At 41.0% G+C, this 25,885-nt stretch overlaps 1 protein-coding gene across 8 annotated transcripts, besides 1 other annotated feature; it reads right to left on the bottom strand.

Moving 5' to 3' along the window:
• Window positions 1-225: 225 nt before the first annotated feature.
• On the bottom strand, window positions 226-25,757 carry TVP23B (trans-golgi network vesicle protein 23 homolog B). 8 transcript variants are annotated; one of them, NM_016078.6, is made up of 7 exons: window positions 25,635-25,757; window positions 17,505-17,587; window positions 15,900-16,044; window positions 9,272-9,361; window positions 7,997-8,128; window positions 2,674-2,802; window positions 226-1,399 (listed from the first exon to the last, which is right to left on the bottom strand). In NM_016078.6, exons 1-7 carry the CDS (start codon window positions 25,644-25,646, stop codon window positions 1,373-1,375), a joined length of 618 nt encoding a protein of 205 aa, NP_057162.4. In that variant the 5' UTR covers window positions 25,647-25,757; the 3' UTR covers window positions 226-1,372. The 8 variants fall into 8 exon arrangements, with proteins under 8 accessions (NP_057162.4, NP_001303851.1, NP_001303850.1 ...); NM_001316922.2 differs by having other exon boundaries at window positions 15,980-16,044; NM_001316921.2 differs by having other exon boundaries at window positions 17,505-17,582.
• Window positions 2,821-3,472: an enhancer, noted in NCBI's record as "NANOG hESC enhancer chr17:18706781-18707432 (GRCh37/hg19 assembly coordinates)". NCBI's record gives its function as "activates a minimal SCP1, AML or CMV promoter by ChIP-STARR-seq in naive H9 embryonic stem cells {active_cell/tissue: H9 hESC(naive)}" and the evidence as "EXISTENCE:reporter gene assay evidence [ECO:0000049][PMID:30033119]".
• Window positions 25,758-25,885: the final 128 nt, after the last annotated feature.

Raw genomic sequence — 25,885 nt, 5'->3', positions numbered from 1 at the left:
GTAAAATAAACAAGCTCTTAACAAATTATTAATTTTTAAGAAAGGAAAGGGCATTTAGAGCAAATATTTTCTCTAAAAAATACTAATATATCATGTTTTATATCCTACAGATATTCCTGCAATCTGTTTTCCTTGGGAAAGTCACTCAATAACCTGAAGTTCAGTTATATCATCTAAAGTATTACATATTTATCATGAGGGTTAAATGAGATTACACATGTCAAATGCCTTGTAAATAGTAGAATTTTATACAAATATAAAGTTTTGCACCTTCAAAGCTATCACTCCAATAAGACACTTATTCAATTAAACAAATAATCTTAAAAACTATTTTAACAATGTACAAATATATTCACAACATAATCTGCTGATTAAGACTTCAACAAAGTTTATAATACCTACAACAGAATTTACAGATGCCTACAATAGTTTGTAGATTGGTTTAATTTACAGTTACATAGATTGCTTTAAGAAATACCATTAATACAAATGCATAATTTACAATATCCCCATTATAGCAAGAAAAAAATAGATTCAGAAAATAAAATGTCTTTTAGGCATTTATTATGCCAAGTATGTAAATTATTATTCTCATTATGACATGAGAATAATGCTCTTTTAGTGGTAAAAGATCTATTAGCTCAAGGTCCACTGAAGAGCTTTCAATCTAGCTATCCTTTCTGTAAAATAAATAGAACAGCAGCAATCTCTGGGTATTCCTTAAACTATGATGATTCCACTTATATTAACTGGGCCTTAAATAGATGACTTCTTACAAACAAAAATAAAATTTTATAAAGTAGTTAATACCACTGGCCCTAATTGTTTTCACTTGCTTGCATACGTCTAAGAAATTTCCCCACGAAGTGCATATTAAAAACTAACAATTATTTCTAACTTATACATAAGCCAAAGTGCTCACTCTTACCATAGAAGCAAAACTTTCTCCTGAAAACAATCTACAGAAATAATATGTAAACATATAGAGCTTTGAGACAGACTAAGAACATCCTCCTATGTTCTATGGATCAAAATGCAAAGGTCTCCATTACCTATGTAAATGAACACTTTCATTAACTTGGGATATACTGATATTACATGGCCGTGTGCATACCTATGGAATGTGCATACCTACACCACAGAACAAATCTTGACAATGTTTCTAGTGCCAACACATACTTTCTAGCCCCAACTGCTGGAAAGGAAATAAAAACTTAATATGAAAACTACTTTTCCTTTTTATAAATAAAGTTTTTAAGTGGAAAAACAAAGCCAACACTCCTCGTTGCAACATGGACTAAGCTCTAAAAGGTTGAGTCAAGAATCTCTTCAGTTGTTCCCCAATGTAACAAAGCACATAAGCTTTCTCTATTCAGGAAGTCTGATCATCTCCAGTGTTCTGCAAAAGACAAAAAAAAAAAACTCCTTAACATCAAAGTTATTTCACTTCACACACCATGGACTTGGGGACTAGGCCTAGGAAAACATTCTATATTTCTAAGCAGAGCATTACCTTACATACAATGGCCCAATCACATTAAAAAGTAGACATGCTAGGCTGGGCGCCGTGGCTTACACCTGTAATCCCAGCACTTTGGGAGGCCGAGGAGGGTGGATCATGAGGTCAGGAGATCGAGACCATCCTGGCTAACACGGTGAAACCCCGTCTCTACTAAAAATACAAAAAAGCCAGGCGTGGTGGCGGCGCCTGTAGTCCCAGCTACTCGGGAGGCTGATGCAGAAGAATGGCGTGAACCCGGGAGGCGGAGCTTGCAGTAAGCCGAGATCGCGCCACTGCACTCCAGCCTGGGCGACAGAGCGAGACTCCGTCTCAAGAAAAAAAAAAAAAAAAAAAAAAAAAGACCTAGTCACTTTTCCCAAGAAATTTAACCAATAATTATTTACCTATGACTACTACTCATCCTGCTGAAAACCCTGATGTTGGGGTATTATAGTAAAATCCTTATGTTCTAGGGGGAAAAAAACATCTGAGTACAAATGTTATGGTCTTCTTGTGATTCAACTGTTCTCCCTAAAACCATACAACATACAGGCTGGGCACGGTGGCTCACGCCTGTAATCCCAGCACTTTGGGAGGCCGAGGTAGGCAGATCACAAGGTCATGAGATGGAGACCATCCTGGCTAACACGATGAAATCCCATCTCTACTGAAAACACAAAAAATTAGCTGGGCGTGGTGGCATGCGCCTGTAATCCCAGCTACTCATAAGGCTGAGGCAGGAGAATCACATGAACCCGGGGGGCAGAGGTTGCAGTGAGCCAAGATTGCACCACTGCACTCCAGCCTGGGCGACAGAGCAAAACTCTGTCTCAAAAAAAAAAAAAAAAAACATACAACATACATTCTGCAAGGGCATTCACTTAAAGCTCCCATAATTGATGAAAAACAACTGAACTTAAAAGTAATTTTTAAAAAATAAGTTATTATCAATGATAGTTTATCCTTCCTGGCTTTAAAATAATTTTAGGATACTGACAATACACTTCCAGACTGTCTTGAACACCCCCAAAGAGCAATTACAACATCTTTATCATTATATTTATACAACTATATGCCTTTAAAACTTCTGTTCAGGAGCGTTTCATAAAAATTAAACTATGAAAGTTAGAAATAATTGCATTAGTCACTGATCACATCCAGAAAACACTTACTTGTCTTAAAAACTGCTTTCCAAAATATGAAGTAGCCATGCTGGTTAAATGCTTTCTGCTGCGCACCTTACACCTGATGTAACCATACAGGTTGGCACCTTGTAGCACCACACCCATGATAACCACCGCCTGGGACAAGGGAAAAAATAATCAATGGTTACTGGCCTGAAATTGACCTTTCTCTGTGCCATAAATGAGACAAGGCAGACTGTCATGAGAAAGAGAAGGAAGAGGAAGCTCTGCAAAGCCATGATTGTGCCAGTTGAGATTTTCCAGAGACAGTTGCCAGAACAGACCCATCTGATAGACGCTCTGCACAAGGCACGAGTCATTCACCCAGCAAATATTTACTGGACACAACTGCTCTTATGTGCCAGGCATCATGCTAGCTGCTGGGGATGCAGTGCAGGGGGAGCCTTCTTGCTCTCTGTTTCCCATTGGTCTGTGAGTAAAGTTAGGAAAAGTAAATGAGACTCAGGAAAGGTTCAAATGTTAATTATTCCTATAAGAATTACAAAAGAACAGTCAAGAGGTAGATCAAGTTCAATAAACTGAGAGCAGGTAGGGGTGAATCTCTGCTCTACGTGACAACTGGCTTCTGGTAGAGGGGATGCAATGCCCTAAGGCATAAATCAACCGATGCCTGCCTTCCCCGAGCAGGGAGACAGCTCCAAGGGGAACTGTACTTTTGCAGAGCTGTTTGTTCCTTTGAGTTTCATTTTCTCACCTATGGTCATCCCACTAGGATCAATGAGAAGTGAGAAAAAGAAACTCAAAACCCATTCTTTAAAAATTTCTAATTAATCTTAATTAGAAAAATTGAGACAATGTGAGGGATTCCCAAGGTTAAAGACTCTAATACAGGGATCAGCAAAGTTCTCCTGTAAAGGGTCAAATCATAAATATTTCAGACCATACGGTCTCTGTTGCAATTACTCAACTCTGCTGTTCTAATCCGAAGGCAGCCATAGACAATATATAAGTGGGCAAGGCTGTTTTTCAATAAAAACTTACAAAAACAGGTGTCGGGCTGGATTTGGTCTGCAGGCCATAGTTTGCCAACCCTTGTTCTGGAATAAACAGCTCATCGACCATTCTACTCTTTTATATCTGTGACAAGCAAAGCAGCTCAATGAAATGTCGTTTTCCAATCTAGATTTATTCTCCTTACCCTTAACAAGATGTATAGCTGATTTTAATGTTTAATTAATAGATTTAAATGTTTGATTAATGAACAGGTTTCACATTCCTAGTAAAAGAAGAGGAGGTGGTACTTTCTGTTCTAAACTTATGTTTCATGGAATTAAACGTGTTAGTGTAATAAGAGGGTGCTAGTTTCCTAAATAAATATAAAACTGTGTATTTATTTGAATAAATTTCCTTTTAATTTCCCATGCTTCTCAAATGGGGCACTGCTGGGTATGTATATATCAACATGCCAGGGTACACCTCAATTCAAAGACCAATCATGGGTCCTGCTAAGGCATCGATTTACTCAATGGCAACAAATGTTAAAATCTGTAAGTTAAACTTCTGGTTTAAGATGGTGCAGTGAAGTCAGACATGAAGATCTCCCTCCCCTTAAGGTACAAACAGCAAACAGCATTTTTAAAAACACAAATAAACTAATACCAACAAACATAAAAAAGGGCTGGTGGCCAAAGAAAGAGCCAGGTTGGAGCAGCTCTACATAGCTCCAAACTCTGCAAAGAAGCTCTAAGGAAAATTTCACTAATTACCATCCCCAGGAACTTATAGAAAAGCAAAAGACCCGAGAAAAAAATGCAGAAACAGCCATGACAGCAGAAACTCCTCCCAACTAACAATGACCCAAACAGGCAGGAAAATCCCTGCAGCTGGCCATAGTGGTGCCACCGGGTGGGAAGAAGGCAGGAGAGGAAGCGCAGAAGGATCATTAATCATGAGAGATGATCATCTTAAGAGAAGTGAGGAGGTGGGAGACTCATGGAGAGACTGGGTGAAGCCCATTCCCGTCCTGTGGTCTTAACCCATTTATTTTTATTATTTTTATTTATTTATTTTTTGAGATGGAGTCTCGCTCTGTTGCTCAGGCTGGAGTGCGGTGGCACGATCTTGGCTCACTGCAAACTCTGCCTCCTGGGTTCACTCCATTCTCCTGCCTCAGCCTCCCGAGTAACTGGGACTACAGGTGCCTGCCACCACACCCGGCTAATTTTTTGTATTTTTAGTAGAGACAGGGTTTCACCATGTTAGCCAGGATGGTCTCGATCTCCTGACCTCGTGATCCGCCCGCCTTGGCCCTCCCAAAGTGCTGGGATTACAGGCATGAGCCACCATGCCGAGGTCTTAACCCATTTATGCTGTAGGCTGCAATTTTGTGAATTTTTGCATGAGTGAAAAATCAGACCTTGGTGATGACCTTGAGCAGTAGGATATAAATAACTCCTACATGCTTAGTGTTCCAATAATGGAACACTAGGCATAAGTAGGTTAACACAGGATCAAACTGGCTTTCACATAACCTCTCCCTGTTTTGTTTTAAGGAAGTAGAAACACTGCTAGAAAAAGACTGGGCTGACTCTCTTGGATGGATGCTAAAGCTCTAAGGTCTTACAAACAATCCAAAGCAGAAGGGAAGAACCAGAAGAGAGTGCACAGCCAACCAGCAGACAAGAGCCCCACTAAGGAAGAGAACGCAAAACCAGGCAGCCCAGCCAAGAGAGCAAGAGCCTGGCAAGTTCTCCACATCGCACATCACACCTGTGTCTTCAGGCCACCAAACCCAGCACTGCAACTCCAGCTCAGAGCAGCAGCCACGTGCCTCAGACATCAGGAGAAGGTGGTCAAGGGGGATTCACCCGCACTAAACCAGCAGAAAGAGAAGGGCTGGACAGGACTGTCACTGTAAGGATAAGCAAAATGGATAAGGAAAAAGGGAAGTGCATTTATGCAAAACTATAGTGAAAAAAGAAAAAAGAAGCATAGTATACAGAAGATAGGTGAAGAATCTACTCGAAAAGAAAAAAACCCCACCAAAATAAAAGCATTCCTCGGACTATTTCACCCTACAGAAAAACCTAAAGAAAAGAACTCAAAAAGCATGAGGGTGAGATAACAGGAGATGAAAACGGAGCTGACAAAGCTAAGGAAATACAGAGAGAAGCCTTAGCTGAGCACTTAAAATAGTTACTGTTCTCTCCTCTGCACTCTCTACCCCATTACTTTGTATCATTAACTAACATCCCCTGTTGTATTTTTTACTGTTTGTCTACCTTCCACTAGAACATAAGCTCTACTGGAGCAGTCAACTTGTTTACTGTCCCCTAACTTATCCCCCTGTGTCTCCAGACAGCTCTGACATAAGAGTGAACTCTTAAAATTGCTGAATAAATAAGGAAAAGATGAATAATTAAAGCAACAAGAAAATAGTAGATGAGAACAAATAAAAATGATCCAACATAAACGTAACTGGTACTTCAAAATGAAAGGTCAAACCATAGAACATAAATAAATGCAAAGATTTAACAGAAAAAATTTTCCTGATTCCAAGCAAAACTTTGGTCTGCCTGTCAGAAAGGCACAGACTCCAGAAAACTTGATATGGAAAGATAAATACAGATACATCTGGGTTACATGAACTAAAAAAAAAAACACCTTATGAGGAGAGATTACAAAGGTTAAGTAAGCCTGGCCTCAGACTTCTCCAAGATATTCAGTGAAAGAAAATGATGGAATAGCATCTTCCAAAAAGAAACAAACTGTGACCCAAGAATATTAATCCAGCCAGGTCATCATTTAAGAATAGTCAATAGGCTCATATGTTTAAACATGAGTCAAAAGAAAATGTAGCCAACCAATAAGTAAAAGGAGAAGCTGCAGTAAGACTGGTGATAGGCAATGAATCGACTTTTTTAAAAAACAGATCAAAGACTAAACAACCAGTAAGAAATATGTTTTCAAAAGATAACTATTATAAAACTTGGTAACACAAAAATAACATTGGAACAAACAAGAGAGAAAGGAGGAAACTCATAGGAAGGAATATGAGTGTTTATTTTCTTCCCTTTCTAAACAGAGTCTATTAAGTCAATAAACAGGTTTAAGTACATTAATTAATGTTACAAAGAAAACCACTAGAAGGACTAAAATAAGACTATAATAAGCAAAACTCTAGAGGTAGGAGGAGGGAGAAGTTAAAGAAACCATATTAGCGTAAAGTTTCCCATTTTCCAGAGCAGGAACTCCATAAATACTGAATAAATTTCCTAATTCATGAAAGAGGGTAATGATATAAACATATAAAGTAATTAAAGGTAACTACCAGAAGAACTGAAAAAAGACAATAAGCTTCCAATAAGCTTCCAAATCCAAAGAAGGAAAGTATGAATGTATGAGCACACACAAAGAAAAAAAGAATCTATATCGCAAAATAGGACTAAGAAAATACTACAAATTAGGAGGAAAAACATAATTAAGGCCAAAATATATCTGATATCAATAAATATTGTGTGAAAATTCACACAATATTTATTCATATCAGATATAAGATAGAATAAGAAAAAATAATATGAGATATAAAAAAGAGTAAGACTCACAAATTGGGTCAAGTGACAAACTATATTTTCCAAAGACAGCAGCAACAATATCTCCTCTTCCACAAAGTCTTCTAGCACCTTCTTATTCCTTATCAAGAGCAGAGCCTAATTCCCATTTCCTTGAATGTGAGTGGGCAGCAGAAGCGATGCTATGACATCTTAGCTAGATTGTAAAAGCTTGCGAGCTAGAACACCCCACAAGTGAAGTACTGGGCTGCCACGTAAGCAGTCCCACCACCATGAGGCCACCATGCCATGAAGAAGCCCAAACGAAGGCACAGGGAAAAACATGTGGAGAGGCCATGGGACCTCATGAAGAGGAGATGGCTCACAACCCCCATCATTCCAACTACTGTCTGACTACAACTACTCAAGACCCCAAGCCAGAATCTCCCAGCAGAGCCCTTCCCAAGATCCTGACCCATAGAAACTGTGAGATAATGGCTGTTGTTGCTCTAAGCCACTATGTTTTGGAGTGATTTGTTAGGCAGCAATAGGTTACCAACCATTATTTCCAGAAAAGACCACTAATAATCTAGAAAACTGGTGGGAAGGGGTTTTTTAGGATCTCTTCTCCAGTATTATAGAGAAAGGTAAAGTTGGGAAGCAAAACTTGGGAATTACATGATGAAGCTGCCTATTCAAGATAGGTCCCTAATGATAAGGACTCAGTTGTAGTTGTTGCTTCCTATGATTACCATCAGACATCTTAATGGATTATTTGAAAGTTCTACACTGATACTCACCAACCACTTTACTCTGAAGGAGAAGAGTGCACTAAAAGCAAATATCACCCACAGTACTGGACAGGCAATAAGTCCCAACCAAAAGATTCTTGATTCAGCCTCTGACACAGTTTTATTCTCTTGAGAGGACTCCTATAAAAGAACATAAATTCAATTATCATGTTGTGAAATTTATCAATAAAAAGTTCAACATGTTTAATAAAAAACATATTACCCACAAGTTCAAATATTAATACACACAGCCCAACTCCTAAGTTAGAACCCAAAAATACATGACTATCACTCTTGTAATTTTAGGAACTGATCTATATTAACTCAAGAATTTTGCATTTTCAGGGCAGGATGGATGGTTTACCACAACTCATGACAGTAAAGAGTGGTCTCTGATAGGATTCTATTCAATTCTTCTTGCACTTGTACTATTTATTCATAAGGAAGCTCTAAATGATACCTTTCCTACCAATGATCAAGGAAATCACAGTTATAATCATTCTGGAGACTAAAAGGTCAAATTAGGGTCCAGAGGAAAAAAAAAAAACGGAATCAAGGGATTCTGGACAATAATCAAAATGTCTTAGCAATACCCAGGAAGTTACAAGGGTGGTAAGTTGTTTCCAAGGTAGATTCTATAATATAAAAGAATACAGGCTCATTGAACACAGTGCCACTTTCTTAAAATAACTTGTCAATACCCTTGGTGTACTGTCGCCAAGAATTTGGTCCTCTGCTTCCAAAACTTATTTCCACAAGGAAAGTGAATATTCACTATAGTGTAGCAGGCTAACCCAAAACAGACCAGGATCCCCAGGGCTCCTGAAGGCAGAAGCTTAGGAATAGAGTGCTCCGATCAGATATTCTATCCAGCTGCACTCCTCCTCCTTTTTCCTGCCCAGAAATGAAAGACGACCACAGGAGCAAAGACAGAACAAGATGTTAAAAGCAGTTATCTGCTGAGCATAGAGGGATTTATGGAGACACTAACAAAGGCAACACAGAGATCTTTTATCAGCAATCCCTGACAGGCAGCTTAGCACACTGTATGAACTCAGACCCAGTGTCTTCCCTCAAAGGATTCTGTTCTGTATATTGCTTGTTTCTGGTCTGAACTAGACAGAAAAATGCATTAAATTCTAGAAGGCCATCTCCTTTAGTGCTGACATGCCAAGTGATTTGGTATAGTGTTTTTAATTCTGAATACTTCATCTTCCAGTATTTAAATATAGTCTACAAATAATTTAGCTGATAACATTATTTAAAACAAAAAAGGCACTTTACCTTTCTAGATTCAAACACCCAATGGCTCTTTCCATCTTCATCAATGTGATTCCACCAACGTAGGCCAACCATTAGTCTACCTGTGACATTCTGGTGAAGATTAATATAAACAGGCACATTTTAAAAGCATTATTTAAAGATCTATCACAAGCTCCTATCTTAGTGTAACATTTCACAAACAAAAACCTTCAGCTTTACCTCCATAATATCCAGTTAGCAAAGACTACTATGTATCAGGCCTGGCTAAGTGATTAAGTAAAATGGTAATGGCAGGACTAATAGGGGTAGAGGTGACAGAGCAAGCAACAAGTCCACCCATAAACATTACACCTTCTCTTTTCCCTCATGAACAATTTGCCCTTTCTCCAGTTCCCTAATTTTCCCTAAACCCCTTGCTATTTGGTTACTGTGACCTACTTTACATCCTGACTATAGCTACATGTATTTTACAACTACATATCCCTGAAAATGATTATAGACACTGGCCTTCAGTCAGTCTCTCAAGTTACCAAGCTCTTTTCCTACTTACTAAGGTAATAAATTAGTTTGATAGCTTTCCTAATCTTTATTTACTCAACAAATATTTACTGAGCATCTACTATGTGCTGGTAATACAACAGTGACTAACAGATACCAACTCCTTCCTCAGGGAAAGAGGTGAAGAGAGGCAGACAACCAATGCACAAATGTACCATTACCAACTGAGTTAAGTCCTGCAAGGGAAAAGTGTGAGATGCTTGAAGAGTATAACAGGGAAATTGGATCTAGTCTGGGTATCAGAAAATGACTCTCTGAGGAGTCAACATTTGGAATGAAATATAAAAGATAAATAAGAATCAACAGTACCATGGATGTTTAATTAATGGTGTCCACTAATAGATTCAGTGGTTCTGTGAACCTCGATGGGTTAAAAAAAAATGTTACCTTCATTTTCATTAACCTCTGGCTAAAATTTAGCATATCTTTAAATTATGAATGTAGACAACAAACTATGAATGTAGGTAAAATTAAAAACACCCTGACACAATAGAAATCACAGGCATTTTTTTATTTTGTACTATATTTGCTGCAGTTACCTCAAAATATTGTAGTTTTGTTTTTTGTTTGGTTTTGTTTTTTGTTTTTGAGACAGAGTTTCGCTCTTGTTGCCCAGGCTGGCATGCAACGGGGCGATCTCAGCTCACCGCAACCTCTGCCTCCCGGGTTCAAACGATTCTCCTGCCTCAGCCTCCCAAGTAGCAGGGATTACAGGCATGCGCCATCATGCCCAGCTAATTTTGTATTTTTAGTAGAGATGGGGTTTCTCCATGTTGGTCAGGCTGGTCTCGAACTCCCAACCTCAGTGATTCACCCGCCTTGGCCTCCCAAAGTGCTGGGATTACAGGCGTAAGCCACCACGCACGGCCTCAAAATACTATTTATGCTCACCACTGCTTTGAAAGTAGTTAGCATATCATTAAATTATGAATGTAGACAACAAACTATGAATATAGGTAAAATTAAAAACACCCTGACACAATAGAAACCACAGACATTTTTCATTTTGTACTATACTTGCTGCAGTTATCTTAACATATTGTTTACGCTCACCACTGCTTTGAAAGTAGTTATTAGACCTGCCACTAGATCTTACCATTAATAAATTCATAAAGTATAGTAGTCCTCCCTTATCTGCAGGGGATACATTCCAAGACCCCCAGCAGATGCCTCAAATTGTGGTTAATACCAAACCTTATATATGCTATATTTTTTCCTGTAAGTACATACCTATGATAATGCTTAATTTATAAATAATGCACAGTAAGAGATTAATAAGAAATAAAAATAGAACAATTATAACAACATAATCTAATAAAAGTTATGTGAATGTAGTTCTCTCTCCTCACACAGTATCTTACTGTTTAGTGTAGTGTATAGCAGTAACTGAAACCGCAGAAAGTGAAACCTCAGATAATGGGGGAACTACTACACATATAACTCAATCAGAAATTTACTTTTCTAATATTTTTAAATTATATTTCAATATAAGTGACTTCCTTTGAAATCTTATGTACTTTATATATGTGAAAACTTATTCATGAGTCTATGAAAGGGACCCATGGCATAAAAAGATTAGGAATCCCTGTATGAAGGTGATGTGGGAGGAAGAAGAGCATTCCAGATAGAGCAGCAGGCACTGATGCCCTAATGAAGAAAGTACAATCTATGGATTTATGGGACTTGGTCATTAATTGGATATGGAGTAGGAAGGAGGCAACTGATACATTTCTGGTTTGCTCAAGTAAAAAAATAGTGATTCCAGGCCCCACGAAAGGGAACACTCAAAGAAGAAGAGCTTTTGGGGAGTGGAAGATGACAAGTAGTATTTTACACATGTTAAGATATAAGTTGCCTGGCCAGGCATGGTGGCTCACTTGGGTTCAAGACCAGCCTGGCTAACATAGTGAAACCCTGACTCTACTAAAAATACAAAAATTCGCTAGGCATGGTGGTGCATGCCTGTAGTCTCAGCTATCTAGGAGGGTGAGGCAGGAGAATGGCTTGAACCCCAGGAGGCAGAGGTTGCAGTGAGCCGAGATCACACCACTGCATTCCAGCTTGGGTGACAAAGCAAGATTTTGTCTCAAAAAAAAAAAAAAAAAAAAAAAAAAAGATTTGAGATGCCTTCAAGACAGCCACATAAAAACGTCAAGAAGACACATGGAGAGGCCTTGAGTTGTGAGGACAAACCTGAATGGAGATACAGATCTGGGAGGCAACACAGCTTACAGATCAGCAATTAAAACCAGAAGCATAAACGGCACTCCTTAGGAAGGGAATACAGGAGAAGAAAAGGAAGAGTCTTATGAGACCAAAATTCCTATGGGAGAGATGCTAAGTAAAAAAAAAAAAAAGAGCTGGCAAGGGAGACCTAAACCAGAGGTCTCTTCTATAGGTATTTTCAAAGAATGCTCTCAGAATACTTTCAAACTCTTCTGTGTTCCCATTTTCTAACTCTTTATTTCCTGCTTTTATCTTTATTAGTTTATTTTCCTGATTTCTCACGCTTATTGCTTGTTTTTGAAATTTCTGGACTCAAGTAGTCCATTATTTTCCCTCTTTCTTGTCTAAAATAAAAGGCTTTAGTCTATTATTTTCCCTCTGAATTCAGTTTTTGACATATTCAGAAAGTTTAACTGTAAATGATCACCATTAAGGTATAAATAACCTATATTTACAGTTTTTGCTTCCTTTTAAACCCAAGATATGTAGTAGTTCGCTTTTTAAAAAGAATTCCAATTTCGACAACTACTTTCTATTAATTTCTAGTTCTGTTTCATTGGAGTAGAAAATGTAGGTGCTTTGGGCAATTTTATTTTGATTTTCTTCACAGTGATATTTAGTCAATTTTTGTAAATGCCCCACAGGCATTTAACAAGAAAGTATTCTGTCATACAAAGTCCCAAATACTGCTATCAAATTGATGTTGCCAATTATTTCATTCAGATCCTTCAGAACTTATTTATTTTTTGGCACTTTGGTTTGTTAAAGATAGTAGTTTGTTAAACTCATCATAATGCTTTTCTATTTTCTAATATTTCCAATTTTTTTACTATACATAGTTTGATATAATTTTACTCTGTGAATGATCTTCACTGTGATTCATAAAATCACCTTTTTCTGTTCCTCTTAGTGCTTTCTTACTCTGATCCATATCTCATCTGATAATAATACAATGCCAAGTTTCTTTTTGTTTGAGTTGATCTGATGTTATCTTTGCCTTCTTTTATTTTTTCTAATGTCATTAATGTTGTTAGATCTTTTGTTTGGACTTTGATTTCTGACCAATCTTAGTATTCTTGTCTTTAAATGGGTAGTTTAATCAAATTACATTTCCTATTATAATGAATTTGCTATTACTTACATCACTTTATACATGTACTTTCTGATTTAAGCTTCCTTGACAGTTGCTTTGTTTTCCTTCTTTTGCTCTATGAACTGTTTTACTTGCTCCATCTTCTCCAATGTTGCAGAAGATACACGACTGGTTTTAAATTTTACTAATAGTTGCCATTATTTTTTTTTTTTTTTTTGAGATGGAGTCTTGCTCTGTTGCCCAGGCTAGAGTGCAGTGGCGCAATCTCGGCTCACTGCAAGCTCCGCCTCCTGCCTCAGCCTCCTGAATAGCTGGGACTACAGGCACCTGCCACCACGCCCGGCTCATTTTTTTTTTTTTTTTTTTTTTAGCAGAGATGGGGTTTCACCATGTTAGCCAGGATGGTCTCGATCTCCTGACCTCATGATCCACCCGCCTCAGCCTCCCAAAGTGCTGGGATTATAGGTGTGAGCCACCGCGCCCAGCCATAGTTGCCATTAAATTTTTAAAACCATTATTTAACCTTTTTTACTCAATTTGTCAGAGTGAAGAATAAAATAAAAACCAATATAAGCTTTAGCATTTAAGCATACCTTTAAATTATTTTCCCTTCTCTACCTCTTCTTTATCTTCATTAACATCACCTAGGGCAAGCCTATCCAACCCTCTGCCCACAGGCCTCATGCTGCCCAGGACAGCTTTGAATGCGGCCCAGGAGAAATTTGTAAACTTTCTTAAAACATTATGAGATTTTTTTGTGTGCGATTTTTTTTTTAAGCTCATCAGCTAATGTTAGTGTATTTTATGTGTGGCCCAAGATAATTCTTTCTTCCACTGTGGCCCAGGGAAACCAAAAGATTGGACACCTAGGGGTTTAGATGAAGATTGATTTTTTGTTTTTTTAGTAAGTACATTGAGATTTATAACAATTACGACACATCTCTATTTTAACTGTTTCAGAACCCTGCTTATCCCAAGTCCACTTAATAATTTCCCTATTCTTGACTTCTTAATTTTGCTTTATATCTCCATTGCTTTGCTATCTATAAGTAGTTTTGCCAAGGATAAAAGGGTGCCATTTTTTAAGCCCTTGTTTAAAAACAAAAATAAACAAATAAACCTTATCAGAAAATAAACTATTTTGATCGCATTTTTTAAAACTCTAAACCCAGAAAAATTTTAAGAGTTTGGAAATTACCAGGAAGAACTGACTGGAAAGCATGTTCTATTTGGCTGAACAGAAATTTTATGAACAACAAAAAGAAACGTGTATCAAAACTGTGAGCAGTATGTACTAAATACTTTGGAGCATAAAGTAACAGAAGAAATTCAAAGAAATGCAAGCCAAAGAAGACTGGACAACAGAAAAACCTAAAGAAAACAGACCTTTGAAATCTTCCTTCTCAGCATTATGCGGCCTATGGAAACTGGCCATCACCAAGCCAACCACTTCAGGTATCTTTAAGAATTAAAAGATGGCCAGGCGCAGTGGCTCACGCCTGTAATCCCAGCACTTTGGGAGGCTGAGGTGGGCAGATCCCTTGAGGTCAGAAGTTCGAGACCAGCCTGACCAACATGGAGAAACCCCGTCTGTACTAAAAATACAAAAAAATTAGCCAGGCGTGGTGGTGCATGCCTGTAATCCCAGCTACTCGGGAGTCTGAGGCAGGAGAATCACCTGAACCCAGGAGGCAGAGGTTGCGGTGAGCCAAGATCATGCCATTGCACTCCAGCCTGGGCAACAAAAGTGAAACTCCGTCTCAAAAAAAAAAGAATTAAAAGATCTAAAAATGGCTACATTGGTGGGTGTGAATAGGGTTGTAACATCTTACTAGTCTTTGAATCAGTATGTGTCTCTGAAACTCCAAAATCAGCCTTTGATTTTTTTCTCCACTATTTTACTATATTTTCGAACACACACAGTTAAATTTTACAGTGAATACCCAAATATCTATCATCTAGAGTCCATATTTAATATTTTATTATGCTTACTTATCTATTTATTATGTACCTATCTATCCATCCATCCATCTCTCTAATCATTGTTCTTGAGTTTGAAACCATTTCTTACACTTCTTTCTATCCCCTACAGCAGGGTGTCTCAACCTTGGCACAACTGACATTTTGGGTCAGGTAGTTCTTTGTTGCAGAGGGGCCGTCCTGTGTGTTAGGATATTTAGCAGCATACCTGCCCTCTAGCCACTAGATGTCAATAGCACACTCCTCCCACCTCCAGTCATGACAACCAAAAACATTTTTGGACACTGACAAATATTCAGTGGGTGGCAAGCTTGTCTCTGGTTGAGAAACACTGCCTTAAAGCATCCATAGGAGCCTTTTCAAAAGGTAGGTATTTTTTAGGTATTTGTGGACAAACTACACTGGGGCCTTATCTAGAAATTATATACAACACACCTACAGGTAAGCCTGAAGCAAAACCCATGGTATGGATTAGAAGCAACATTGTAGGGTCTATGGTTGCTAGTCACTTTTGTTTGTTTATTTGACTTTAAAGCTGATGTAGGTTAGAATATGGCACAGAAAAATCAGCAGCACAGTAACCTGCATGTCTCATCTTGTATTGTCAAAGGGAAAAAATGAAAAAAAAAAAAAAAAAAAAAAAAACTACATGCAATTTGATATATCTAGCACTTCAACACAGATGAGGTTTGAAGTAACAAAAGATTAACAATAATGCAAAATGCTAACTCATATTTTTATACATCATTTTCATATTAAATATAATTTTAAAATAAAAACAATCAAAATTACCTTCACTGCCCAAAAGTCACACGACAACAACAAGATAATTGTCACCATACAGGTAATAAAGCTGCTGCTGAGCAACCCACAGAGAAGATAGACGATGATTGCACTGACTCGAAAGAATAAGTGGAAAAACGATGCTACTGGATGTCTGAAAACCAAAACACAATGAAAGAAATGCAATTACATTTTACTACAGGTACTAGCAAATGTAGAGAAAAATGTTTTAGCCATCGTGTAACTGTGAAGAGTTTTGTCAAAATAAAAGAGGTGACTTTAGTAGGATGAAGCAAACCTCCTAGCTCTCTTTTTCTTAAGCCCCACTATTTGACTAGGCCCTGTAGTTACAGAAAATACACTATGCACAGATGACTTTAACACCTCATTGAATATAAACTTTCACAAAATAGATAATAAAGAATTTTATCTCTCTTGGAGAAATAAGGAAACTGTATCTTAGAATTTGAATCCTATTTTCAAATCACACCAAAAGAATTCCTTAGCCCTCAGAAATCACTCAGACATTAAGACAAAGTTATCAGGTAGTTTGTTTCTTTCTTTCTTTTCTTTTTTTTTTTTTTTTGAGACGGAGTCTCGCTCCGTCGCCCAGGCTGGAGTTTGGTGGCACAATCTCGGCTCACTGCAAACTTCACCTCCTGGGTTCACGCCATTGTCCTGCCTCAGCCTCCCAAGTAGCTGGGACTACAGGCGCCTGCCACCACGCCCGGCTAATTTTTTGTATTTTTAGTAGAGATGGGGTTTCACCATGTTAGCCAGGATGATCTCAATCTCCTGACCTCGTGATCCACCTGCCTCGGCCTCCCAAAGTGCTGGGATTACAGGCATGAGCCATCGTGCCCAGCCTGTTTCTTGTTTTTTAATAGCTTTTTTGAGATATAATTCACATATCATACAATTTACTTATTTAAGGTAAACAATCTAATGGTTTTTAGTACATTCACAGATTTGTACAACCATCACTCCAATTTTACAACTTTTCATTACCCCAGACAGAATCTTTGTACCCACTGGCAGTCATTCCCCATTTACCTTCAAACCCCTCAGCTTCTAGCAACAGCTAATCTATCTTCTGTCTCTACAGATTTGCCTATTCTGGACATTTCATATAAATGAAATCATACAATATGTGGTCTTTTGTGACTGGCATGAAAGATGAAAGAAAAGTAAAAGACAGCATTTTAGCAGGGTTCAAGTAGAATTTGCTTTCAGTAAGTGAATTTCTTTAGAGAGAATTAAATTTAGAATAGAAATGTTATGTGATTTTGAAATGTGCACAATAAATCAAAATGTAATGTATCTATAGAAACTATATAAAGAAATGGTACATTCTTGGAAAATAGCACAGAATTAAAAACACAGGTGTTCAAATAATTGGATTTGCTGATTTTAAAACTCAGTATTAAGTATGCCAATTATTCACAAGAAAATCTGAAATGTCATCTTTGTCGTACACTAAACGTCAAATTAGCAACATGCAGTATTCACAAGCACATTGAAACAACTCTGCCTTGACTCCCATCAGCTAGCACTGACATACATACAGAACAGCACTGGACACTAACACAGCTCATGCAACTTCTCTCCTCCTACCTGATTTTGGCTTTTCTTGGTCTATTAGTCGTCTCCTCTTCCGCATCAAACAGTGAAACATCTTCAGTGTCATCATTACTATCCTGGTAGGAAAAATAAATGGTCAAGAAGCAAAACAAAATTCAGTGTTTACACAGCCACTGCAATGCAAAGCTGCATACTCATCAAAATAGAAGATAAAATAATGTGGTTACAGCATCAGGAATTCAAAACCTAGGAAAAGGACACATGCAGATCCTCCACCCGCCTCCTCAAATCATCTGGCAAAAAACCCAGAGAATAATCGAAGTCTCAGCTCCTCCATCCCTGCCCCTAGGCTGCACCATCTGAGAAAACTCTAGGGTGCAGATGAGGCTACTACAACTTAACACCTGTCCTCCTCACCTGTTCTCTCCCAAGTCACAGAGCAAGCCGAGGCTACTGGGGATAATCTCAAGGTTTCTGGCTCCTTCACAAAATCATCTGACTGCATCCTTAGTTCCATGACCCCTTCTCACAACTCCTCCTCTTCTTATCCAAGGCTAAACCAATTATTTGTGCTCAGAATAACTTCTTTTCATGCCTCCTCGGGGATTTGTTTCATCATTTTCCCCTGTATTTACACTTTCTTCTATCTTCAAGTCTATCTATTGGATCTTTCTTTTTTGTTGTTGTTGAAATGGAGTTTTGCTCATCACCCAGGCTGGACTGCAATGGCACGATCTTGGCTCACTGCAACCTCCGCCTCCCGGGTTCAAACGATTCTCCTGCTTCAGCCTTCCAAGTTGTTGGGATTACAGGCGTGTGCCACCACACCCAGCTAATTTTCGTATTTTTAGTTGAGACGGGGTTTCACCATGTTGGCCAGGCTGGTCTTGAACTCCTGACCTCAGGTGATCTGTCCGCCTCAGCCTCCCAAAGTGCTGGGATTACAGGCATGAGCCACCACGCCCGGCCTCTATTGAATCTTTCTAATCAGCATATGCATATAAACTTCTTCAAGGCCACTTATTAGGCAAAAAAAGATTTTTTTAAGAACCCTGATCCTGAATCTCCCCTTCAATCCTCTACCTTCCCAAAGCATTGCTTCCTTTTACAACCTTAGGCTTTTTTTTTTTTTTTTTTTGAGATGGAGTCTTGCTCTGTCGCTCAGGCTGGAGTGCAGTGGCGTGGCCTCAACTCACTGCAACCTCTGCCTCCTGGGTTCAAGTGATTCTCCTGCCTCACCTTCCCAAGTAGCTGGGACTACAGGCGCGTGCCACCATGCCTGGCTAATTTTTTGTATTTTTTTTTGTAGAGACAGGTTTCACCGTGTTAACCAGGAGATTTCATGACCTTGTGATCCAGCCGCCTCGGCCTCCCATTGCTGGGATTACAGGCGTGAGCCACCATGCCCGGCCCCATAACCTTAGGCTTCTAAGAGTGGTTCACGCCTCAATTCACTGCAATTCCCCTCAACTACAACAAACCTGATCCTGTTCCTCTCCTAGTGGCACTCACCAGCCTCCCTGCCTTTATCCCTCTCTATTCCAGCCTCTCCTTTACATTACCCAGAGCAATCCTCCCAATATGGAAATCACACCATGTCACTCTACTGCTCAAATTTTTCAATGGCATCCCTACAAGTATAGGATAAAATTTAACTCCTTCACATAAAGCATAGAAGATCACAGAATCTAATGCCCCCTACTTGCTTCTGACACTGTCTTCATTGAGCACTGTTGAGCACTGAAGCAATACTGTTACTACATGGTCTCTAAGAACACTACAATCTCTCTCCCATCTCCTGCCTTTCACATGTTGTCTCAGAAAACTCTTCCCTTCCTCATGCCCTGCTCACCACCAAATACCAAATCATCCTTCAAGTTTTTTAGCTCAAATACTGAAATAGCTGAAAACCTGTCTCTGAAATCCCCATGTTCCCACAGCACTTGGACGAATCTCCATTTGAACAATCATCTCAGAGTATTCTTATTGCACATCTACCCGCTCCTACCTCCATATAGATTAAGCTGCTGGAGGACCTAGAAGACAAGGTTTTTTTTTTTTTTTTTGAGACAGAGTCTTGCTCTGTCGCCCAGGCTGGAGTACAGTGGTATGGTCTCAGCTTACTGCAACCTCCACCTCCTGGGTTCAAGCTAGATTCTAGTGCCTCAGCCTCCTGAGTAACTGGGATTACAGGAGTGTGTCTCGGCTAATTAGCCTGGCTAATTTTTGTATTTTTAGTAGAGACAGAGTCTCACCACGTTGGCCAGGCTGGTTTCAAACTCCTGACCTCAAGGGATCCGCCCACCTCACCCTCCCATAGTGCTGGGATTATAGGTGTGAGCCACCACGCCCAACCAAGACTGTCTTTGCATTGTAGTAAATCCTAGTGTCTAGCAGAGCATTCAGCCAAGTGGTACAGTATTTGTTGAAGGCATGAGTAAATAAGCAAAGGAGACGATAATATACAGCTGACTGTGATCAGGGCTGAGAAATCTAAGTGCAAATGGGAGCCAGGGAAGGAAGCAAATCATTCCTACTACAGGGCACTGGAGAAGCTTTCTGGAGGAGAGTTTGTCAGCTGGGCCCTGACAGTCCGCGTAGGCCTCCCTAGACTAGGTATATTTTGAAAGGCACAGGTGGGAATACAGGAAGTTTGTCTAAGAAATGGTCAAGTAGCTCATGCAGTAAGTGATGGATGCGAGAAGCTCCTACTGAGCTAAGGCTGAAAAGGTAAAATGGATTCAGATCTATGAGACTAGTGGTTCTCAACCCTGGCTACAATTAGAATGCTTTTTCTTAAAAAACAAACAAACAAACAAAAAAAGGCTGATACTTGGGTCCAGCCCTCAGTGGTTCAGATATAATTGCTTTGAGGTGTGATCATAACGTACAGCAAGATTGAGATCCACCGTATGATGTTATGAATAAAAAGCTGAGGCCTTCTGCTCTCGATCCCAACAGTCTAATCGCCATCCAGCGGCCAGGGAGACTTTTTCACATCAAATCCTATCATTCCCCTACTGAAACCTCTCAGCACTATGACTGAAAAACAGACTCCCTATCATGACCTATCATGATCTGGTCCCTGCCAATCTCTAAGACCTTATCTCAGGCCACTCACTCTTCATTAACTGTGGTAGGCTGAATACCTCCTCACCCCTCCCAAAAATGTTTAGGTTCTAATCTCTGGAACCTGTGAATATGTAAATTTACTTGGCAAAAAGAATTTCACAGATGAGATTAAGTTAAGGATCTTGAGGTCAAGAGATCATCCTGGATTACCCAGGCTGGTCAGATGACGTGATCACAATGGTCCTTACAAGGGAAACAAAGGAGGGTCAGTGAGAGAAGGTGATGAAACAAGCAAAGTAGAGATGAGAGACAGAGATTTGAAGAGGCTGTGCTCATGGCATTAAGATGGGGAAGGGATCCCAGGTGTTTAGAAGCTGCATCAGGCAAGGAAACTGATTCTCCAGAACCCCTACCCACACCTTGATGTTTAACCCCTTGAGCCTCATTCTGGACTTCTGACCACCAGAACTTTACAACAGTACATATGACTTCACTGCCGCAGTAGCAACAGGAAATTTATACAGTACCTAAGCTCCTGCCCAGACTGGCCATTTTTTTTTTTTGACACAGGGTCTGGCTCTCGCCCAGGCTGGAGTGCAGTGGAGCAATCAGGGGTCACTACTGCAGGTCCTACATCTCAGCCTCCTGAGTACTGCAAGCCACCATATCTAATATTTTAATTTCTTGCAGAAATAGGGTCTCGCTATGTTGCCCAGGCTAGTCTCAAACTCCCGGGCTCAAGCAATTCTCCTGCCTTAGCCTCCCAAAGTGCTACGATTAGAGGCATGAGCCACCATGCCCAGGCTGGCCTTCTTTTCAGTTCCTTAAACATGCCAAACTTGGGCCCCGTCAGGTTCTTTTGCACTTATGGTTCATATTACCTAGAACACTATTCTCTTACCCTGCTCTTTGAAAGACTCATTTCTTCTCATTTATTCAGTAAATACTGAGTGCCTACCAAGTGCCAGGTACTGCTGTAAGTGGTACAGATTTAAAAAAAAAAAAAAAAAAGACAAATAGCTCTGCACTCCTGGAGTTACATTTACTAAGATGGGGAAGACCACGGACACAAAAGATTTCGGGGCAAAATCAGCAGTTTGATTTTGGACATTTTAAGATGCTAAATGACATTTTAAGATGCTAAAACCAAAAAGCGTTGAAAGGGAGATCCATTGGAGTGTTTTAAGTGTAAGACTGCATGTTCTGACTCACCTGTTAGAAAGAGAATTCTGGCTACTGTAGTAAAAATCTGGAGGGGGAGGGGAGAAGAAGGAGGGACAAAAGCACAACGCTAGGAGACTGGTTAGGAAACTACTTTAATCACGAGGCCAAGAAGTAATGGCTTGGTCTAAGATGGATGCAGTGGAGGTGATGAAAAATAGATTCCAAGTACATTTTAAGGGAGAGCTGACAGGATTTGCTGATGGACTGACTGGGGAGGTGGAGGAAGGGTAAATAAAAGGAATCAAGGAAGATTCCAAAGTTTTTGTCCTGAACAACTAAAAAGATAAAGATGGCTAAGACAGACTCCTAGCATTCCAATAATTAGAGATCACAAAGATAAGAAGGAATAGGCTGTGGGGACTGAAAAAGAAGTACCAAGGAACATAAGGTGAGCCAGGAGGGGGTAGTGTCCTGGAAACCAAACAAAGTGCCTCCAGGAGGAGGATCCATCATCTGTGTCAAATGCTGCTCATAAGTAAGATGAAAACCAAAGAGAGACCACTGTATTTTTTTTCTTTTTTTTGAGACGGAGTCTCGCTCTGTCGCCAGGCTGGAGTGCAATGGCGTGATCTTGGCTCACTGCAACCTCCACCTCCCGGGTTCAAGCGACTCCCCTGCGTCAGCCTCAGCCTCCCGAGTAGCTGAGACCACAGGCACATGCCACCACCCCCAGGTAATTTTTGTATTTTTAGTAGAGACGGGGTTTCACCATGTTGGCCAGGATGGTCTCCATCTCTTGACCTCATGATCCACCCATCCTGGCCTCCCAAAGTGCTGGGATTACAGCCATGAGCCCTGCACCCAGCCATGACCACTGTATTTTTAACAGGTCATCAGGGAACTCAGTAAGAGCAGTTCCAGTATGGTTGGGAGAGGGGAAGAGAGACTGACTAGAATGAATACAAGAGAGACTGGAAGAATTAAAAGACAAGCATATATGATACAAGTCTTTAAAGGAAAAAGAATGGAGTGACCAGTGAAAGAGCATGTGGTGTCAAGTTTGTTTTGTTTGTTTGTTTGTTTGTTTTGAGACGGAGTCTGGCTCTGTCGCCCAGGCTGGAGTGCAGTGGCGCGATCTCGGCTCACTGCAAGCTCCGCCTCCCAGGTTTATGCCATTCTCCTGCCTCAGCTTCCCGAGTAGCTGGGACTACAGGTGCCCGCCACCACCCCCGGCTAATTTGTTGTTTTTTAGTACAGACGGGGTTTCACCGTGTTAGCCAGGATGGTCTCGATCTCCTGACCTCGTGATCCACCCGCTTCGGCCTCCCAAAGTGCTGGGATTACAGGCGTGAGCCACCGCGCCCGGCCAAGTTTTCATTTTTTAAGGTAAGAGAAATTAAAGCACGTTTATATGTTGATGTGAGCAAACGTTTAAAAGGATTAAAAAACTGATGATACAAGAAAGAGAATTACTAGAACAATGCCTTCCAGTAGGCAAGAGGAGATGGAAACCAGGACACAGTAGACAGGAAGACCTAAGAATGGAGCACTAACAGTCCAATTATCATAAAAGAATATGAGACCCTGAGTAAACATGCAACTAGGCAGCTAGTGTGAAAATTGTCTTCCGACGGCTTCCATTTTCAGTGAAACAAGAAGCAACGTTACCAGCTGAGAGAGGATAAGAGAAGAAACGTTGAAGATTTGAGTTTTAATAGTTGCCTAAGGCGAGAGGGTGAAGGGGCTATGGAAATGTAGAATGACCGCCTGGCAGCACTAAGGGCTCGACTGAGGTTCACGTCACAAATTTATCAAGTGGGAACCGTCGGCCGGGCCTGGCGGCTCACGCCTGTAATCCTAGCACTTTGGAAGGCTGAGGCGGGTGGATCACCTGAGGTCAGGAGCTCAAGACCAGCCTGGTTAATATGGTGAAACCCCATCTCTACTAAAAATACAAAAATTAGCCGGGCGTGGTGGCAGGCGCCTGTAATCCCAGCTACTCTGGAGGGTGAGGCAGAAGAATCGCTTGAAGCCGGGAGGCAGAGGTTGCAGTGAGCCGAGATCACACCATTGTACTCCAGCCTGGGCAACAAGAGTGAAACTCCGTCTCATAAATGAATGAATGAATCAATCAATCAATCAATAAATAAATAAATAGTGGGAACAGTCAACATTGTTGTGTTTCTCCAGCCTCATCCGGCCTGGGCGCAGGTTCAAATGTCAGAAGCATGTGAACCTGAACAACTCCATCTTCAATAGGAGCTGGGTAAAATGAGGCTGAAACCTACTGGGCTGCATTCCCAGACAGGGCATTCTAAATCACAGGATGAGATGTGAGGTCGGCACAAAATACAGGTCATAAAGACCTTGCTGAAAAAACAGGTTGCAATAAAGGAGCCAGCCAAAACCCACCAAGACCAAGATGGCCACGAGAGTGACCACTGGTCGTCCTCACTACTAGACTCCCATCAGCGCCATGCCAGTTTACAAATGCCATGGCAACATCAGGAAGTTACTCTCTATGATCTAAAAGGGGAGGAATGAATAATCCACCCCTTGTTAACCATACCACTAAGAAATACCCATAAAAATGGGCCACCAGCAGCCCTCCAGGTTGCTCTATGGAGTAGCCACTCCTTTACTTTCTTAATAAACTTGCTTTCACTTTGCACTGTGGACTCACCCTGAATTCCTTCTTGCCTGATCCAAGACTTTTTTTGTTTTGTTTGAGACGGAGTCTCCCTCTGTAGCCAGGCTGGATGGAGTGCAGTGGCCCGCGGCTCACTGCAACCTCAGCCTCCCCAGTTCAAGCGATTCTCCTGCCTCAGCCTCCCGAGTAGCTGGGACTACAGGCGTGCACCATCACGCCCAACTAATTTTTGTATTTTTAGTAGAGACAGGGTTTCACCAAGTTGGCCAGGATGGTCTCGATCTCTTGACCTCATGATCCACCCACCTCGTCCTCCCAAAGTGCTGGGATTACAGGCCTGAGTCACCACGCCCGGCCAAGGACCCTCTTTTCGGGTCTGGATCGGGACACCTTTCCTGTAATACAGCTGAATTTAACCATTATTAGATTTTCTCCACTCAAGGCATCTCCTCATAAGCAGTCTTTCCTGACCATAAATCTTAGTTGTCCTATCCTCAGACACTTGTTATTTCATCACCCTGCCTTTGCAATTATCTGAAAATATCTTTGGTTATACAATTTATCGTGTCTCCCCACCCAACCCCCATCTCCTAGAACCCACTTCCCTAACCCAAAAATACGGGGCAAGAAACCTGTCTGTACTGGTCACAACCCTATCCCTGGGCCTACAACCGTGTCTGAGTCATAGTAATCCCTCAACAAATTTTGTGTGAACCGAAAGAAAAAAACACTTAAGACAATCTAAGTGACCATAAACAGTAGTTTTTTCTAAAAATATTATTAATCTTACGAGTCTCTGGTTGCCAACATGTGGACTACAATTAACTCTAAGAGCACAAAGGAGAGAATCACCAACAACATTAGTTTGGAAACAGCAATTTGAAAGCGAGGCTCTGGCGGTGTCGCCGATTCCTACAAAATAGCATCGCACCCCTGGGTGTCAGGAAGCTAAGAGGCCCGCAGGCCGCTCCTCCTCAACTCCACCCCGGCAATAAGGGTTGAGGAAAGAGAGACCCCCACTCGCGCTGGTTAACAATGGGCGTCCCCACAGCCGCAAGAAGTACTTGCTCTGCGCCGCACGGGTCACGCCGCCCCCAGCGGCCTCAGAACCCCCAGCAGCCCTCCTCAGACAACTACCCACAGCCCTCCACTCCCGGCCGCCCCGCTCCTCCTCGAGTTCGAGTAGCGGGCGCGGGGGACGCGGGCTCCAGTCCCACGGAACCTGCAGAGCCAGTCCCAGGAGCCGCCACCCTCCCAGCGAGCCCTCAGCCCCTCACCTGCTGCAACATGGCGGCCCTACGCCAGCCCTACTTCCGGGAGCCACGTCAGCGCAGCAGCGTACGGGTCCGGGTCGGAACTGAGGCGACCCGTCACCAAGGGCCAGCAGGGACCACTGTAAGAGCCTCAGTCCGGCCTCACTTCCGCTTTGAGGGAGCAAATCCAGGGGCGGGGCGAGCGGGGGCGGGGCGAGCGGCCCGGACACGGCGGAGGCGGAGCCTGGAGCAGGAGCGAAAGGGAAAGGTATTGG

Source organism: Homo sapiens, chromosome 17 (assembly GCF_000001405.40).
Source record: "Homo sapiens chromosome 17, GRCh38.p14 Primary Assembly".
Lineage (NCBI taxonomy): Eukaryota > Metazoa > Chordata > Mammalia > Primates > Hominidae > Homo > Homo sapiens.
The sequence above is the reverse complement of the archived record's forward strand: the minus strand, read 5'-3'. Positions and strand labels throughout refer to the sequence as shown.